At 39.5% G+C, this 20,089-nt stretch overlaps 1 protein-coding gene and 1 long non-coding RNA gene across 3 annotated transcripts in view, besides 1 other annotated feature; both read left to right on the forward strand.

Moving 5' to 3' along the window:
- RAB10 (RAB10, member RAS oncogene family) overlaps positions 1–20,089 on the forward strand; it is a 104,170-nt gene that overhangs the window by 25,833 nt on the left and 58,248 nt on the right. The window lies entirely within an intron of this gene.
- The window catches only part of LOC105374333 (uncharacterized), a 33,343-nt gene continuing 14,647 nt past the window's right edge, over positions 1,394–20,089 (forward strand). Inside the window, exon 1 of the long non-coding RNA XR_939851.3 lies at positions 1,394–16,040. This is a non-coding gene — a long non-coding RNA (uncharacterized LOC105374333). The remainder of the gene's footprint in view (positions 16,041–20,089) is intronic.
- Positions 9,581–9,630: an enhancer, noted in NCBI's record as "active region_15468". NCBI's record gives its function as "activates an Ori minimal core promoter by ATAC-STARR-seq in GM12878 lymphoblastoid cells {active_cell/tissue: GM12878}" and the evidence as "EXISTENCE:reporter gene assay evidence [ECO:0000049][PMID:35858748]".

Here is a 20,089-nt window from a genome sequence, read left to right on the forward strand (position 1 = left end):
AGTAGGTGCTTTATAAAAGTTGATGTTGCAGTGTGAAGTATTACACTAATTGCTTTACCAGTTTGGAAATCTGTACTTGATCATTACAGTGGACTCTTTATTTAGGAGCCCCAACAAACTTAAAGTTGGAGATGCAGTATATTTTTGTTTTGCTAATGCATTCATTCATTCGAATGTTTGAATAGTCCAGTATGTGCTAGATATTGGGGATATGGCAGCAAAGTTCTTATGAAATTTTATTCTAGTGGGAGAGACAGATGTATCAAATAAACACAATGTACTAGAATATAACTTCTAACATTTAGTAGCATAAGCAAGCATACATTAGAATAACCCTTAGTTTAGGGATTTTGTTTTTTTAACCTAAATGCAAAATTTGAGAAGCACATGGTAAGTAAATATTTCAGAAATTTGTTGGGGTAAAAATTGTGAGTACTTTGGTATTAAAATTATAATTACTCAACAAATTAAAAATGGAATTACCATACGATGCAGCAATCCCACTTCCAAGTATATATCCCAAAGAACTGAAAGCAAGGTTTTGAGATCTTTGCATACCCATGTTATAACAGCACTATTCACAATAGCCAAGAGGTGGAGACAACTTAACTGTCCATCGGTGGTTATCAGGAGCTGGGGGAGGGAAGGGGTGAAGGAGAGTTGTTTAATGGGTATGGAGTTTCATTCTGCAAGATGAAAAAGTTCTGGAGATACGTTTCACAACACTGAAAATTGCTACTGAACTGTACACTTAAAAATTGTTAGTGGTAAGTTTTAATAGCTTTGATGTGTTTTAAATTATGTGGGTTTTTTTTACCACAATAAAAATATTAAAAGATTGTCATAACTAGGTTGGGATTGCATAGCATAGTTCAGGCCATACCATCATGGTCATGTTCTAAGAACACATAATAATAGCTAGAATTGGAGGTAGAGGCAGATTACTTATAATGCCAGTCTTTTAAAATCCTCCTTAATTGGCAAGAGTCTGAAGAAGCTTGTTTGGATTTAGAATTTGTGAATTCGTGTGAATGCCATGAATTCTCTAATATGGAGGGGGAAAGAGAAGGAAATTATTGAACAACTGCTGTGTGCCTGGCACTGTGTGAAGTGCTTTTATATCTATTACTCTTTCATTTTGTTCTCACAGTAGTTCTTTTTTGTTTTTTTGTTTGTTTGTTTGTTTGTTTTTTCAGACGGAGTCTCGCTCTGTTGCCCAGGCTGGAGTGCAGTGGCACGATCTCGGCTCACTGCAAGCTCTGCCTCCCAGGTTCACGCCATTCTCCTGCCTCAGCCTCCCGAGTAGCTGGGACTACAGGCGCTCACCACCACATCTGGCTAATTTTTTGTATTTTTAGTAGAGATGGGGTTTCACCGTGTTAGCCAGGTCTCGATCTCCTGACCTCGTGATCTGCCCGCCTCGGCCTCCCAAAGTGCTGGGATTATAGGCATGAGCCAACGTGCCCGGCCTGTTCTCACAGTAGTTCTCTGAGGAAAATTGTATATCCTTATTTTGCCAGTGAGAAAATTTTGGATTAGAAACATTAGGTAATTTATCAAAGAAGGTTATGTAGCTAATAGTAAGTGGTAGAACCAGAATTGCTAATCCAGGTCTGTCAGACTCCAGAAACCATGTTCTTTCTATCACATTATGCCAGAGAAGCTGGAAATAGATATTTTCTTTTAAAAAAGTAAAACTTACTAGTTACAAAAACACAACAATAAAAAATCTGCTGGCCCGACTTAAATGTCTTTCAAGATGGCTACAGAGCTTCCATTTTGCTACTTGAAAAAAACTTTGTTGAAAAATAGCTTCTAGATGAGTGATTTCTTCAGTTACATGTAATTTTGGGAGTGGTTATAGACAGACTAGATGTAGTTTCTTTATATAAAATAACTTGATTTGCTTCTTTAAAAATATAGGTTGAAAGAGCTGATACTCAGTTGAAAATTTTTTTTTCCATTTATCTCTGTCTTTTTTTTTTTTTTTTTTTTTTTTTGTTCGTTTGTTTTTTGAGACAGGGTCTGGCTCTGTCACCTGGGCTGGATTGCAGTGGTGCCATCTCAGCTCACTGCAACCTCTGCCTCCCGGGCTCAAGCTATCCTCCCACCTCAGTGCCCCCAAGTTGCTTGGACCACAGGTGCACACCACCAGGTCCGGCTAATTTTTTGTGATTTTTATAGAGACGGGATTTTGCCATGTTGCCCAGGCTGGTGTTGAACTCCTGAGCTCAATTGATTTGCCCACCTGTGCCTCCCAAAGTGCTGGGATTACATGTGTGAGCCACTGTGCCCAGCCCTGTTTTCCTTTGAGAGACAGGGTCTTGCCCTGTCACCCAGACTAGAGAACAGTGGCACAGTAATAGGCCACCACAGCCGTGTTGGCTGCCCATGTAGCTAATATTACAGGTGCATGCCACCATGCCTGACTAATTAAAAAAAATTTTTTTTTTGGTAGAGACAGGGTCTTGTTAGGTTTCCCAGGCTGGTCTCGAACTCCTACCTTCCATTAATCCTCCTGCCTTGGCCTCCCAAAGGGCGGTAATTATAGGTGTGAGTCATTGTCCCCAGTCTTATTTTTCTCGCTTAACAGTAATTTTAAGTAGTCATCTCTCTTCACTTCATATCTGCTCCCCACCCCACCCCCCCTTGTTTTTGAGACAGAATGTCACGCTGTCACTCACGCTGGAGTACAGTGCTACGATTTCGGGTCACTGCAGCCTTGACCTCCTGGGCTCAAGTGCTCCTCCTGCCTCAGCCTCCAATGTAGCTGGCTAATTTTTTTTTATACAGGCAGGGCCTCAGTTTGTTGCCCAGGCTAAACATCATATGCTTTTAAAGGAACCTGCTGAAACAGCAAAGTCTCTTACCATGAACAGTTGATGGTTCTAGGAGCTTGGGGAAAAGGGGTGGAGTTGGGGTTTCTGTATGTGATGTCTTTTTTGGTTCAGAATAAATTTTTTTTGTGTGTGGTAAGTTACTATAGTAAGGGTAATTTCCCATAATAGGCAATAATATATACATCTGTTTTTGTTGGAATTATATTTAAACTTAAATTTTAAAAAGTAGTGCCTGTTAGTTTAAAAACATAGTAATAGATTGTATAGCATAGAAAATATAAATACTATAATCCTTCATTGCAGCCCATCCTCTGCTCCATAGCCTTAGTGTAATTTTGGTGGCAATACTTTTTCCAGTGGATCTATGTATTATGATGCTTTTATTTGGAAGTGACAGCCCATCCCCTCCTCCCCAAACAAACACAACTACAAAAGTGCTGCTGGGCATGGTGGCTCATGCCTGTAATCCCAGCACTTTGGGAGACTGAGGCAGGCAGATCATTTGAGGCCAGGAGTTTGAGACCAGCATGGTCAACCTGGTGAGACCCCAACTCTACTAAAAATACAAAAATAAGCTGGACCTGGTGGCGCATACCTGTAATCTCAGCTACTCGGGAGGCTGAGGCACGAGAATTGCTTGAACCACGGAGGTGGGGGTTGCAGTGAGCCGAGATCATGCTACTCCACTCCAGCCTGGGCAATAGAGCGAGACTCTGTCTCAAAAATAAATAAATAAATAAATAAATAAAGGAAAGGAAAAAAACCCTTCAAACTGGCTTAAACAACAACAAAAAGTTTAAAGAACTTTAACCTTCTAAAGAATTGCCACTTCTAGGGTTAGTTTGTTGAGCAACCTCAAGAATCTAAGTTATCTTGGCCAGGTGTGGTGGCTCATGCCTGTAATTCCAGCACTTTGGGAGGTTGCGGCAGGTGGATCACCTGAGGTCAGGAGTTCGAGACCAGCCTGGCCAACGTGGTGAAACCCTGTCTCTATTAAAAATACAAAAATTAGCCAGGCATGGTGGCAGGCGCCTATAATCCCGGCTGCTCGGGAGGCTGAGGCAGGAGGATGGCTTGAATGCAGGAGGCAGGGGTTGCCGTGAGCCGACATCACACCATTGCACTCCACCTTGGGCGACAAGAGTGAAACTCCATCTCAAAAAAAAAAAAAAGAATCAGGAATCTAGTTATTTTTAAAATCTAATGGTCAATCTATTAGACTGTCCTCCTCAGGCTCGCTTTCTTGTGTAGATAGCCTTGGCAGTTTTAGACTCCAGTCATGTTGGACAGATCGTCTGGGAGAAGAGGGACCATCTGTTCCTTATGTCCCTTTTCCCTTTCAGCTTTTTATTTTGAAAAGTTTCATACCTACTGATACTCTGGAAAAATTGTGCAATTGAACATATACCCTTCATGTAGATTTTCTCATTATTACCATTTTATTACATTTGCTCACTCACATTCTTTATGTGATTTTTTTTTTGCTAGACCATTTGAAAATTTGAAAAGTAAGCTACAGATGTTTTGACACTTCATCTCTAAATACTTTAGCATGTACCTCTTCAAAACAAGAACATTGTCTTACATAAGCACAGTATCATTACATGCAAGAAGTTTAATATTAGTAAATAACATATACTTTATAATCTTTATTCAAGCTTCCTCAACTTTTTTGCATTTTGGCAAGTGGTGGTTCTGGTAAGATGTCTAGAGTTCAATTCAGGATCATGCATTGAATTTAATTGCCTTGTCTCTTTATATTCCTTAATCTAGAACAGATCCAGTCGTTACATTGACATTTTTCGATGAGTCTTAATAGAATGTTTCACAATTTGTTTTCTCACCATTTTTTTTGGAGAGACAAGAGTCTCACTCTGTCGCCCAGGCTGGAGTGCAGTGGCGTGACCTCAGCTCGCTGCAACCTCTGCCTCCCGGGTTCAAATGAGTCTCCTGCTTCAGCTGCCCAAGCAGCTGGGACTACAGGTGTGTGCCATTATGCCTAGCTAATTTTTGTAATTTTTAGTAGATAATGGGATTTCACTATGTGTTGGCCAGGTTGGTGTCGAACTCCTGACCACAGCTGATCTGCCCGCCTTGGTGGTAATGTCTTTCTCAATTCATCCAGTAGGAGCTGCTTAATGTCCTTTTGTTCTATTTTTGGAGATAATAAATTTGAGCTTTTTGGTAGGATATAGCCTGCCATATTTCTTCATTGAAAGTACTCTTCCCCTTTGTAATTAATAAATAATAATGAGGTCCAAATCCTGTGATAAAGCCAAGGATGTATAAGCACAGAAGCTTTTGCTTTGGTGATTGCAGACGTTTATTTTTGCTTTAATGAATACAACTGTTTTTGAAAATAGTTTTTGTAGAGTGTTTGTTTTTGTATTTTGAGGTGGGGTCTCATTCTGCCACCCAGGCTGGGATGCATTTCTGCTCATTGCAACCTCCACTTCTGGGCTCAAGCAATCCTCCCACCTCAGCCTCCTGAGTAGCTGGGACTACAGGGGTGTGCCACCACGCCTGGCTAATTTTTTGGGAAAAAAAAATTTTTTTTTTCATTTTTTGTAGAGATGGGGTGTACACCATGTTGCCCAGGGTGGTCTCAAACTCCTGAGCTCAAGTGAACTGCCTGCTTTGGCCTCCCAAAATGCTGGGGTTACAGTGCTGGGAGCCACTGTGCACAGCCTGAAAATAGTTTTTAAATAAGTAAAAATGAACAAATTATTCAACAGATGAACAAATATTTCAACAAATTATGTAATCATTTTAACACCCTCTTTCTCTTTCAAGAATGTTTCAGTTTGGGCTGGGTGTGGTGGCTCATGCCTGTAATCCCAGCACTTTGGGAGGCTGAAGTGGGAGGATCTCTTGAAGCCAGGAGTCGGAGACCAGTGTAGTCAACCTAGCAAGACTCCTGTCTCCACACATGTGCGCACACACTCACTGTCTTAGCTGGGTATGGTGGTGTGTACCTGTAATCCCAGCCACTCAGGAGGCTGAGGCAGGAGGATCTCTTCAGCCCAGGAGTTAGAGGCTGCAGTGAGCTCTGATCGCGCCACTGCAGGCTCTGTAGCCTGGGTGACAGAGCAAGACGCTGGCTCTTTAAAAGAGTGTTTCAGTTTGGATAATAAGTCACATGGTCATTCCAGCCATTAGGCATTCTCAGTTTTTCATTGTGCCCATAGTGAGTATTCAGTGTGTTTGTTGACTGACCAAACAGCAGTGCTTGTTAAAAACATGACTCTAAGAAGAAAGAAAAAAAGAAAAAGAAAAAAAAAACATGACCCAGGTAGAATCATTCTTTGTGCATTTTCATGTGCCTTTATTAGCTGTATCTCTAATGCCATGTTCCTTGTGTTTTTCTGGATTGTTTTCTCCAGTATGGCTATATATATTTAATATAATTTTTTACAGCCCTCTAAGTTGTATTTTATGGTTGATAAGTTGGAAATGGTCAACACTTTCATTTGGCACTTCCCTGTTTGCAAGCTTTTGTTTTCAACAACTACAGTTTGCCAAAGACTTCAAAACCTGAAGGTTTTTTTTTTGTGGCACTTCAGTTTATTGAATACTTTGATTGAATATTTCCAACTGATTAGAAAATATTTAATGATTTTAAAAAACATTCAACCAAAAATCAGAAGACTCATTTATAAAACTTGATACCATTGTAGGACACTTAAGTTGATTTATGAAGTAGTTCTTCAAAGGCTCAAACATTTCCAAAAATATCATTGACATGTAACAGAAATCACATGCTGTCATTTATATGTATTTAATATGTAAATTGTCATCTTGATCACAGATTTTATAGTTCAGTTACTATGTATATTTGTACATTTCCACATCTACAGCGTATCTTTCAGTTGGTAAAATATTATAGTCTTTTTGCATATAGTTATGAGTAATGTATACTCCATAATCATTTCAAGTATATTTTTTGTTTTATCCTTTTTTTGTTTTAGCTTAGTGGGAATATTGTTTTTACCATGACAGTCTACTTAACCAATATTTGTATTCTCATCATCACTAAAACAAAAATTTTATCTTCAGTGTTACATGTTTTTAAACAATTCACAACATACACAGTAATATGAGATGTTTTACTTTGAACAGAGTTAACTTTCAAAAGCTTTATTTTGATTCCATGAATTGGATGAAAGAAATCAAGCAGTTAATGTGATGATGGTTTTTCTATGGAAGAGGTCTCATGATAGTGATAAACTTGCATCAGTTGTCTCTGGGAATTTCTGCTAGTGAAGCCAACATGAACAATTACCGATTTTTTTTTCCAGTGGACAAGAAAACTTGGAATTGAAAAAAAAAGATTAATTTAGAAGAACAGTCATTGGATCTAATTACAAGTTATGTTTCATAGAATGTTTTGTAAAGGCATCTTTTACAGCTGCATGTATTGTCATTTTCAGACACAATTTTACAATAACTGCTTATTGCCTTTGAATTAAATGTTGATTGTATTAGTCTGTTCTCATGCTGCTATGAAGAAATACCAGAGACTGGGTAATTTATAAAGAAAAGAGGTTTGATTGACTCACAGTTCCTCATGGCTGGGGAGGCCTCAGGAAACTTACAGTCATGGTGGAAGGCAGGGCGGCAGGAGAGAGAATGAGAGGAGCGAAGCCCCTTACAAAACCATCAGATCTTGTGAGAACTCGCTATCATGAGAACAGCATGGAGGTAACCACCCCTGTGTTTCAATTACCTCCCACCGGGTCCTTCCCATGACACTTGGGGATTATGGGAACTACAGTTCAAGATGACATTTGGGTGGGGACACAGCAAAACCATGCCATCAATTTTTTTTTTTTTTTTTTTTTTTGATACGGAGTCTCACTCTGTCACCCAGGCTGAAGTGCGGTGGCACAATCTCGGCTCACTGCAGCCTCCACCTCCCAGGTTCAAGTGATTCTTCTGCCTCAGCCTCTTGAGTAGCTGGGACTACAGGCACATGCCACCACGCCAGGCTAATTTTTGTATTTTAGTAGAGATGGGGTTTATCCACATTGGCCAGGCTGGTCTCGAACTCCTGACCTCAAGTGATCCACCTGCCTCAGCCTCCCAAAGTGCTGGGATTATAGGTGTGAGCCACCATGCCGCTCTATTTTTTGTATTTTTTGTAGAGACGGGGTCTCCCTATGTTGCCCAAGCAGGTCTCAAACTCCTGGGCTCAAGTGATCCTCCTGCCGTGGCCTTCCAAAGTGCTAGGTTTACAAGTGTGGACCACCTCACCTAGCCAAATGTTGATGCTTCTTCAGATTTGCTGCTTGAAGTCATTGTTACCACTTTAAATATATACTTGAGTGCATTGCTATCTAAAGGGCTTATTTAAAAATACATAGATTAGTTGTAGATATACACTGTGTAACAATGAAAAGGTCATTGTAGCAAAAGGGGTTTATACTGTATCTGCATACTCTATGAAAGGACCACTCATACACATTTCCTATGTACATATTTTTTCCATGTTTCCTACTGATCTCACTGACAGTATTTTGATGGCTTCTTGTTGGCTGAGGAACTGGCCATGGCACAGATGATGGATGGGGGCAACAGCCTTGAATATTCTCCTTCCAGCAACTGTCAACACCTGAAGGAGGGAGTTAGCTGCCTGTTACCATACTTGATATTGACTTGGTGTCCTAAAAAGGAAAATGTCAATTGTTTCAAATTTGTAAAGGGTTAAGAAAAGAGGCAGACTACCACTAGTCATCTTGTTAGATTTAATCATGTGTTAAAATGTGATAGCTGTTTACAATGCACATCTCACATGACTACTGTGTAAGACCTTGTCAGAAGTTAGAAACACCAATTCAATGTCTGTGAAACCATCAATACTTATTTTGATGCAACTTTGTTAAAAATGTAAAGTCTAAGACAGTAGATTTGTACACGATGTTTGGAAACACCAATCATAAATGAAGACTTGAGGTCAAACAGACTTATGGTCACCATACTTGCAGCAGAATTTGCTGGGGGGTTGATATATGTTCATCAAGTAAACAGAAACATCAAACCAGAGTAGTTCTCTAGTTAGTAAAATGAGAATAAACAGGTTATTAATTAATCTATTTCAGAGGATGGTCAGGTGGCCTAGAGAATGCTGTCCTGGGGAAATGACATTTATACTGCTACATGAGATATGATTAGAAGTTAGGTAGAAGAACATCATTCCAGGCAGAGGAAGTGGGCACAAAAAGGTCCTTAGTAAAGGAGCTTTTTGAGTTCAAAGAACTGAAAGATGATGTGTGTTGCAAATGTGACTTGTGAGGCTAGCAGAAGCAATAGATGTTGAAGACGTGGGTTTGAGCCAGATTGTGCAGAGCCTGGTAGTCCATGCTAAGGATTCGAATTCCATGGAAGGTTTGAGCAGGGATGTGACATGGTTAGATTCAATTTTTAAAAGATGGTTGGCCCAGAAAATGTGGAAAATGGATTGGAGTTGGAATTTTCTAATTAAAGACTTATCAAAGATGTGTTTAAACTCTTACTGTATACTATTTAATCTTTAAGGATTATGAGCGATTATATGTGAAAATACCTGTCAGTGACTGTGACAGTGAGCCTTTAATTTTTTTTTTGAGGTGATCTTTTTAGTGCCAAATACATCAGACAATCCTGAGCCAAGAGACAGAGTTCTGATCATAGTTAATTTGGTTTGTGAGCTTGAGCAAGTCATTTAAACTCTGAGCCTCTTTCTTTATCTGTAAATTGGGCGTGTTTGAGAAATGTGTGCTTAACTTTAATTGTGTTAATCGCTTAACTCTGGTTAACATATGGGCTGAGTCTTGCTGAGTCATTTCCTCAGACGTTGTGGGCAAGGCTTAAAACCAGCTAAGCAAATTTAGTGATGACACATTTTACCTCTTCTGTAGAAGTCAGATGAAAGAGCTGTTTCAAAAATGTTTCACTTATTGTTTTCATGCAGATTATCTCTTCGTGGGGGAGAGAATACAGTACACATAGCTCAGGAACTACTGATGCACTGCCTTCCATTTTAGTGGCAGTTTGAATTTAAGAATTTCTAGTTTGTCTTAAGCTTTTCTGTAATCTCTCACATATATATTCTTAATTTCAACTGATAATTTCTTTCTTAATGTCTAATATAGCCTATTTGCCCTCTGAACAGCATTGAGATGCTTTGAAATTTTAATGCCCAAAAAGTTGGCTTTGGTAAGGTGGTTTTCATTTCTGCAGTAGAACCATGGTTGAGGCTAATGGTCCCATCAGCATTAGCAGGCCTTTGGCTAGTTGCACAGTAAACTGCATGTTTCCCACTAGTAAAAGAGATAACCCCAACAGTTTTAGGATTAATGCTGAGTTGTAGTGTTCTTTGGGATTTACAGATTTTTTTCTATAATTTAAACTTTTTGAGACATATCCTGAGGATAATAGAAGGGCATTTAAAAAAACTTCAACTGGCTGGGCTTGGTGGCTCACACCTGTAATCCCAGCACTGTGGGAGGATCACAAGGTCAGGAGTTTGAGACCAGCCTGGCCAATGTGGTGAAACCCTGTCTCTACTAAAAATACAAAAATTAGCTGGGCATGGTGGTGGGCGCCTGTAATCCCAGCAACTTGGGAGGCTGAGGCAGGAGAATCACTTGAACCCAGGAAGTGGAGGTTGCAGTGAGCCCAGATCGCACCACTGCACTCCAGTCTGGGCGGCAGAGCGAGACTCTGCCCCCCTACCCCCCAAAAAAAAAGAAAAAAGGAAAAACAACTACTCAGATACTTTTTTTTTTGAGATGGGGTCTCACTCTGTTGCCCCGGCTGGAGAGCAGTGGCATGATCTCATCTCACTGCAGCCTTCACCTCTCAGGTTTAAGTGATTCTTCTGCCTCAGCCTCCCAAGTAGCTGGGACTACAGGCACGTGCCACCATGCCCCACTAATTTTTGTGTTTTTAATAGAGATGAGGTTTCGCCATGGTTGGCCAGGCTGCTCTCGAGCTCCTGACCTCAAGTGATCTGCCCTCCCCGGCTTCCCAAAGTGCTGGGATTACAGGCGTGAGCCATCGCACCTGGCCTCCGATACTTTTGACAATAATCTTGGTTTGGGGGAGGTGTGTGTGTGTCAGTCTTAGATTTATATTCACTCTGCATTGTGTTATATTGAGCTATAATGGATGTGCAGCTACACGAATTCTTCTAGAGATCCTTGGACTTGAAATTATGCGTCCTTGGCTTTATCACAGGATGTGGCCTTCTTGGCCTCAGTTTTTCAGAGTAGAGAATTTGCTTTTGGCTTTTCTAGGACGTGTGCAGATGAGAACTTGCTACAGGCAGATATGCTTGAGAGCTCAAAAGGAAATGGTGGGAAAAGACTAGATTAAATCAAGTAGTTGTGTGATTTCAGTGAAGTAGTATTAAATCTGGTTTTATCTGTTTTTCACCTGTTTTAAAACATAGGTACATTTTCACAGTCACTTAAAGTGACTATCTTTTTGAACCTCAAGGATTTTTTTATTCTCGGAATTGAGTTTTGTTCGTTTCATCATACTTAAAATAGTTTAAGAAAAATTTTAGAGTACTGTTTTCCTTCTTGTGAACCTTGTACAATATTATGAAGAGGGCAAGCTATGTAGGTAACTATTATCATTTTACAGGTAAGGAAGCAGAGTTTAATGACCTGCCCTTGATAATATGACAAATATATCAGAGCCAAATCTTAAACATAGCGATGGAAAGCTTTGTAATTATAGAAACATTTGGATTTGTCTTTTGGTTCCACCTAAATTTTCTTACAGTTTAAAAAATGTCTTTTAAGATTATTGCAAGGAGCAAATGAATACATAATAGAAGCATCCCATTGTATGGCATGTAAATTCTCACCAAATGTAATTGTTTCTCAGTGGTTTTCAACATGTGGATCCCCACTGACCACCACCTAGGGAGTTTTTTTGACCAGAAGGTCAAAACTTTTCATAATAATTCTAAGACATTTGCCTTTTTCACTATGTTGATGCTTGTACTGATGGTACAGAAGCAATGGTATGTAAAATTGCTGACCTTAGCATGAATCAAGACAATGGAACCAAGCTGGACTAGTAGTCATTGTATTTACCACCATGTACTCACAAGAGAAAACTAAAATAATTTTCCTCAAGAATATCCTTGATGAAGTAGAATTAATTTTTGTTAAATCTTGACCTTTGAGCATATATCTTTTTGGTGTATGATGAAATGGGAGGTAAATATAAAGCACTTCTGCCTCGTTTTGAGACAGTGATGGTTGTCTCAAGCAAAGGCACTTGTGAAATTGTTTGGATTGGCCACCATTTTTATAGAACATCATTTATCCTTGAAAGAACAACTGGCAAACTATGGTTATTCAGACTTGAGTCCTTGGCAGATACTGTCTTGAATGAATGAAGTGACAGTATTTGTTGCCACTGATAAAATTTATGCTTTTAAGATTGGAATTTTGGCCAGGCGCGGTGGCCCACTCCTGTAATCCCAACACTTTGGGAGGCCAAGGCGGGTGGATCGCCTGAGGTCAGGAGTTCAAGACCAGCATGGCCAACATGGTGAAACCCCATCTCTACTAAAAATACAAAAATTAGCCAGACATGATGGTGGGCACCTGTAATCCCAGCTACTTGGGAGACTGAGGCAGGAGAATTGCTTGAACCTGGGAGGCAGAGGTTGCGGTGAGCCAAGATGGCACCACTGCAACTCCAGCCTGGGTGACAGAGTGAGACTTCATCTCAAAAAAAAAAAAAAGGAAGTTTGGAATTTTGAGCCAGTCAAGGTCACTCTTGCCTGTAATTCCAGCTACCCAAGAGGCTGAAGCGGGAGGATTGTTTGAGCCTGGGAGTTTGAGCCTGAAGTGAGCTGTGATTACACTACTGCACTACAGCCTGGGTGACAGAGCAAGACTCAGTCTCTTAAAAAAATAAATAAATAAAATATATTTGGAAAACTTGTGTCTGCTGCTGTGAGTGTGACAGCTTTTCTGTACATACTCTCTTGATGAGGTCCATGGTGATAATATTATTTTTTTCATATTGTATAATGAAATACGCCAACATTTGGAAGAACTGTGTTAATGAACTATTAATTTCCAAATGACCAATACATGCTGTTATAAAATTGCGCAGATAAAAAGACCTATTCAGAGTGCAAAGTAACTGATGGATTTTAATATAATAGAACATGGCTGGGTGCGGTGGCTCACGCCTGTAATCCCAGCACTTTGGGAGGCCGAGGCGGCTGGATCATGAGATCAAGAGATTGAGACCATCCTGGCCAACATGGTGAAACTGGTCTCTACTAAAAATACAAAAATTAGCTGGGCATGGTGGCACCCACCTGTATTCTCAGCTACTCGGGAGGCTGAGGCAGGAAAATCACTTGAACACGGGAGGTGGGGGTTGCAGTGAGCTGAGATCAAATTACTGCATTCCAGCCTGGCGACAGAGTGAGACTCCATCTAAAAAATACATATATAATAATAATAATAAAAATAATAATAGAACATGAAAACACCATTGACAGGGTTTCAGATTCTACCTTGCAACTAATGTTTAAGAAATTACTGCTTGTTCCTTGTGACTCATGCAAAAAAAGAAGAAAAAAAGAAATTACTTGCTGAGCTTTGTAGTGTTGAAGAATAATGTTTAGGATTATCTGAATAGGTTCTTAAAATACTCCTCCCTTTTCTAGCAACATATCTGTTTGTAGCTAGATTTTCTTCATATACTTCATATTCTTTGTATGCTTCATCAGCCAAAACAGCATATTACAATAAATTGGATGCAGAAGCAGGTATAATCCAAGTGTTATCTATTAAGCTAAACATTAAAGTTGCAGTTTTGTTTTGGAAAATATAGTAATTTTTAACAAAATGTCATTTATGTTAACATGGATTGGATTTATTTTAAATTGCATTAAATACTTAAATTGTTTTCTTAGTTTTAATTTGTAATATGGTAAATATGAATTTATAGAACCTACACAAAAGTTTGTTGAGATCCTCAGGAACTTGAGGAGTGTAAAGGAGTTTGCAGAACAAAAAATTTGAGAAGCATTGGTGTACTTCTTTCATTGCTTCTATGTAATAGATTTGATCCAAGTTTCAGTGATGAGATTTATCTCAAGCTTATCTCTTAAGCTTGAGAGAGTAAGAGATTTGGTGTGTATTGGTAGTTAGTGTCCCATCAGAAAAACAGGAACCACTTCAGGTTTGATTTGGGAATAGTGTTGTTGATTTTAAAAGTAGAGAAGGATTTAATGCAGGAATTGTTTCAAAAGTGATGGAAGGGCTAGAGGAACAAATGGGAGAAGGGGCTATTAACCAGAGATCAGCAAACTGCTGTTTTGTCTGGACTGGATCTCCCTAAACCTGTACTTGTTGCTGAGCTGCTAGAGGTATCCCTTTGCTGATTAAGCAAGAACTGTTCTCGTTGTTACTACTGGTAAAACTATTGGGCTATTGCCATTGTACTGGGCTTCCCACCATTGTGTTGCCTATGAGCTCAAGCCACAGCCACTGACTATGTTGTAGCTGTCACCAGGATCAGATGGATTTTCCTTTTGTCCTACTTTTTAGTTTTCTGCCAGTTCCTTTCATTGGCAGAACCTACCCAGAACTCAGCTTGCAAGGGAGTCTGGGAAATGTAGTTTGTAGGCTTTCAGAGCTTGGCAGCATAGATAAGAAAACAGAAGAGTAAATACAGTGCTAAGAGCATCAGATAGTTACAGTCAGCTATGAACACTGCATAAATAAGAAAGGACTCCACAGTTACCTTCCAATTCCTAGTCTGGTTGCCATATTACACTGTAGTAAAGGGAGGAAAAAGTACAGAAGGGAATGATTCGAGCTCAAGTGTTATGAAGAAAACTAAAAATGGATGTAGATAAGATTTGACTGAATAGAATCGGAGGGTTTCTAGGCAGTTAGTTGATCAATATAAATAAAGGGAGATTACAATGGGTACATTGATTACAGTTTAGAGGATGTTATATATTTTAGAGCAATGAGAAATCAGGTTGAATATGTAGACCAGGGGCAGTTTATGTGGAGTGCTGTGAAAAACTGGCAACGGAATTTGGACTTTGTCTAGTAGAAACGTCAGCAAGATTGACATGATGAAAGGCATCTTATATTAAGATCAGAATGATGAGAAAATGCAGGATGATACAGAAGAGGAGACAGTATCAGGAAGATTGCCTTGGAGGTCATTGGTAATCTGAGCCTGAGATGATGGTATGGTAGTGGAGAAAAGACCCTTACAAAGAGTATTTTGAATGAAACAGATTTGAGAACTTTCTAGATTATAAATGGTGGAATGAAGGCAAATTAGAGATGACTTAAAATATTTTAAACAGCTTATCTCTAATCAAATTGTATAGTTGGGATTGGAAGCAAGTGATTGTGGAATTGAGGGCCTAGAAACGGTGAGAAGTGTACTTTTAAAGTATTTTATTTTTTTAATTTTAATATTTTATTTTTTTGAGATGGAGATTCACTCTTGTCGCTCAGGCTGGAGTGCAGTGGCATGATCTTGGCTCACTGCAACCTCTGCCTTCTGCGTTCAAGCAGTTCTCCTGCCTCAGCCTCCCGAGTAGCTGGGATTACAGGCATCTGCCACCACGCCCAGCTAATTTTTGTATTTTTGGTAGAGATGGGGTTTTACCATGTTAGCCAGGCTAGTCTCAAACTCCTGACCTCAGGTGATCCACCCGCCTTGGTCTCCCAAAGTGCTGGGATTACAGGCGTGAGCCACTGCACCTGGCCTTTAAATGTTGAAAAAAGTGAGAAGGAGCATTCATAGTTAAGAGCATGGGATCTGGAGTCGAACTCATGTCACTTATTAACCTCGTGTGCCTGAATAAGTTACTTAACTTCCTTCTGCCTTCGTTTTTCTCATCTATAACACTCCTTAAGAGCTGTTATGAGGATCGAACGAGTAAATGCTTGTAAAATGCTTGGAACGGGTCTGGCATATAGTAAGCACTATAAATGTTAATAAAAACAGTAATAAAAGCCAAGGACTTTTGGGAGGGACAGAAACTTGGGAAAGGTCGAAGTTCTTCTCTCACATTTCTTGGGAGTAGAAAATAAGATTAATTGGTAGCTCTTGGAGAGACTGGACTGGTTCTAAATTTTGGAGCAGCTAGATGGAGTATTATCAGAGTACAGGCTTCCTGGAGAGCAAAATACAAAAGATGCCAAGGTGAGATAAGTTGAAGGTAAAATATAGGTAAGGAATTAAAGAACATTGTGTTCAATTTTTCCTAGTACCTTTCTGTCTCTTTTTTTCCCAGTCATACTTTCTTAGCAAATCATTGTACCCTAAATTCTTTAGTACCAAAAGTAGAGCTATTCTTTCTTTCTCCAACAGGGAGAACAGTCCTTATCTCTTCCATTAAGTCATGTATTGCCCGATACTGTTTGAAGATACTTCCCACCCACCTCCTCCCTCTTTGTTGGAATGAACTGTTTTTGTGCTTTGACTGGAGGGGTCTTGAATGGATAAGCACAGGTTTAACTTGTTTAAGCAGATGTTTTGTCTCTCTGATTAAAAAAAGCTCAAGAACAGTTTGCTTGAAAGGTTTTACAAAATTTTTTAAAAGGAAAACATAAAACCTGAACTGAAAGCTAGAAGGGGAGAAGGACGGAGGTAAACAAATCAGCAGGAATTTAAAGTGGTTATGTTTCTTCTAATACAGAATAATCATGACCAAGGGACAAGTTGTCATGACATTATGTGGGAAGTAAGCATTATGCACTAATAAATTTGAAACAGTTAATCAACAAGTCTTGAATTCTGAGGATTTGGTGGCCTTTAAGGATAATATCTGAATTCATTTTTCAGTGATGTAGAAAAATATGAAAACTTACAAATGTCCTTAAAAGGTGGAGGGTTAGGGGGTGGAAGACAAGCAGGGGGTTAGGAGATAAGTAAGCAGGTTCTGAGAAAATTGAGAATAGAGTTGCTGACCTGAGAGTCATGGTGTTTGGGATACAGTTTGGGCTGGATCAGGGAGGTGTATCAATAAGGGCAGGCCAAAAAGAAGGCAGACATTTGGCTCACTAGTGGCAAAGGGATGGATTGGGAGAAGGCTGAAATTGAGTAGCTAGAGTAGTATCCAGAAGCAAGAGAATTTAATAGCTTAATTGAGGGCTGTTTATGTACCCAGGCCCTGTCCTAGGCTTCCTACACATGATCTCATTTAATCCCCATAACATATTGGAGATAGAAATGATAATACCCACTGTAGGTGGGGAAAACAGAGACCTGGAGAAGTTAAAATTTCACCTGATGCCACAAAGCTAGAATGTGGCAGAGCCAGAGACCATGTTTTTCTGAATTCTCTTAATTACTACCTTCTGTACTGCTTTTCTTAATTCTGAAAGTGAATCTACTGTTGACATTAAACTTGTATTTGCTTATTGGTGTGTAGTTTGTAACCTGACACCATCACAATTTTTTGGGAGTAGCTTTGTAGGAATCCAGGTAGTTATTTGAGGCAGGATTACTCTCAATGATCTCCTCCTGATAAGGACATAAGATACTGCCATGTTCTGGAGAACACCTTATTTTGGAAGGTGCCCCCAAAGTATTAGATAGTGGAGGTGACAGCAAAAGCGGCAAAATGGGGTTTCATCGCAGAATCTACTTACTCAGTTCTTTTACACAAAAAAGTTTCTCCTATATTTAGAAAAGTGTCAAAAGAGGCCAGGCACGGTGGCTCACGCCTGTAATCCCAGCACTTTGGAAGGTAGAGGCGGGCAGATCACCTGAGGTCAGGAGTTCAAGACCAGCCTGGCCAACATGGTGAAACCCCATCTCTACTAAAAATACAAAAATTAGCTGGGCGTGGTGGCAGGCGCCTGTAATCCCAGCTACTCGGGAGGCTGAGGCAGGAGAAACACTTGAACCCGGGAGGCGGAAGTTGCAGTGAGCCGAGATCACACCATTGCACTCCAGCCTGGGGGACAAGAGCGAGGAAAAAAAAAGAGAAAAAAAAAAAAACAGAAAAGTGTCAAAATAGCACTATAAAGAGAGCTCAGAAATAAAAGAAATGAAGGAATTCATTAGGAACTCAAGGAATTAATTACACATGCCAAATTTAAAACCACCTCTGGATATACATCTTAGGACTTTTGTGAAATCTGCATTAATTTCTACTACACTAATTTTGAATTCGAAATAATTCAGACATGATTGTGTTTTACTTTTTCAAAGCATTTGATTTTTTAAAAAATCGTGTGAAATGTAAATTGTTTATTTTTTTGTTAAAAGTACATGTGTATTACAAATATAGATATTAAAGGAAATTTTAAATTGTCAAATGAGAAAATTTCTTATTCTGGTGGAGTGTGAAAGTCAACACATCTTTTGTGCATAGAGAAACACATTAATTTCCTGCTTTTGTGGTGTTGCTTCTCTTGCTTTTGTATTATTGTCCATTAGCTGGTACTGTGGAATTCATCAGATTTCTGAGAATCTTAATGACCTTATGAATCTTTCTAAAATAATGCGTAACAAACAAGACTTTCTTTATTCTGACTTACATCTATTGATTCAACAGTTTTTAGGCATTAAGAATTTATGATACATTACTGTGTAATGTCAGCTTCTTTTGTTTACTTGGATGACTTTTTTATTAGAATGACTTTTGTTTTAATTTGTAATACAATTTTAATGCCGTATAATGTGCAGGAACTTCAGAATAGAATTGCTACCCTGCTTAAAGTCTGTAGATGGGAGGCTGGGCACAGTGGCTCAGGCCTGTAATCCCAGCACTTTGGGAGGCTGAGGTGGGCGGATCACGAGGTCAGGAGACAGAGACTATTCTGGCTAACACAGTGAAACTCCGTCTCTGTTAAAAATACAAAAAATTAGTTGGATGTTGTGGCACTCACCTGTAATCCCAGGTACTCAGGAGACTGAGGCAGGAGAGTCACTTGGTCCCGGGAGGCGGGGTTTGCAGCGAGCCAAGATCGCGCCACTGCACTCCAGCCTGGGCGACAGAACGAGACTCCGTCTAAAAAAAAATAAATAAAAAAGGTAAAGGTCTGTAGATGAGATATACAAAAATCAGCTGTACACTAGCAGTGAATCATCCAAAAATTAAAGTAAGACAATTCCATTTACAGTAGCATCAAAAAGAATACCTAGGAATAGATTTAACACAAGAAGTATAAGACTTAATGAAAACTAGAAAGCATTGTTGAAGGAAATTTTAAAAGATCTAAGTAAATGGAAGGGCATCCAATGTCTGTAGACCAGAAGACTTAATATTGTTAAGATGGCCATGCTACCCAAATTGCTCTATAGAGTCAATGCAATTCCTATCAAAATTTTGATTACAGAAATTGACATATGGCTCCTAAAATTCATATGGAAATACAGAGGACCCTGTATAATGAAAACAGTCTTGAAAAAGAAAAAGTTGGAAGCCTCAAATTTCCTGATTTCAGTGCTTAAAAGAAAGCTGTGGTAATAAGACAGTGTGGTGCTAGCCTGAGAACAGATGTACAGATCAGTGGAATAGAATTGAGAATCCAGAAATAAAACTTTAGATTTCTGGTCAGCTGATTTTTGACAGGTATTTACTGCTCAGTAGGCAGGACTAGGGTGATTTCTGAGGTGATACATGTAATTGGAGTCTAGGAAAAGAGGGGAGGGGTTGCGGAAAAAGTATGAAGAAATAATGGCCAGCTAGAGTTTCCACATATGATGAAGGCTATAGACCTGATGAACCTAGGTAGGGTAGATACGAAGAAAATCACATTGAGGCACATCCTAGTCAAGTTACTAAAAGCCAGAGTAAAAAAAGAACATATTATATAGAGGAGCAAAGATAGGAGCTGTTGACTTTTTTCTCAGAAACACTGCAAGCCAAACAAATGAACAGCATAATCACACTGAGGAAGAATAAAAGAATAAAAGAAACTTTGGAAAATATTTTGACTTGGCCAGGTGTGGTGGCTTACACCTGTAATCTCAGCACTTTGGGAGGCCAAGGTGGGCAGATCCTGAGGTCAGGAATTCAAGACCATTCTGGTGACATGATAAAACCCTGCCTCTACTACAAATACAAAAATTAGCTGAGTATGGTGGTGCCCACCTGTAGTCCCAGCTACTCTGGAGGCTGAGGCATGAGAATTGCTTGAACCTAGGAGGCGGAGGTTGTGGCGAGCTGAGATTGTGCCATTACACTCCAGGCTGGGCAACAGAGCAAGACTCCATCTCAAAAAATTTTTTTGTGAACT

This window comes from Homo sapiens, chromosome 2 (assembly GCF_000001405.40).
Source record: "Homo sapiens chromosome 2, GRCh38.p14 Primary Assembly".
Taxonomy (NCBI): Eukaryota; Metazoa; Chordata; class Mammalia; order Primates; family Hominidae; genus Homo; species Homo sapiens.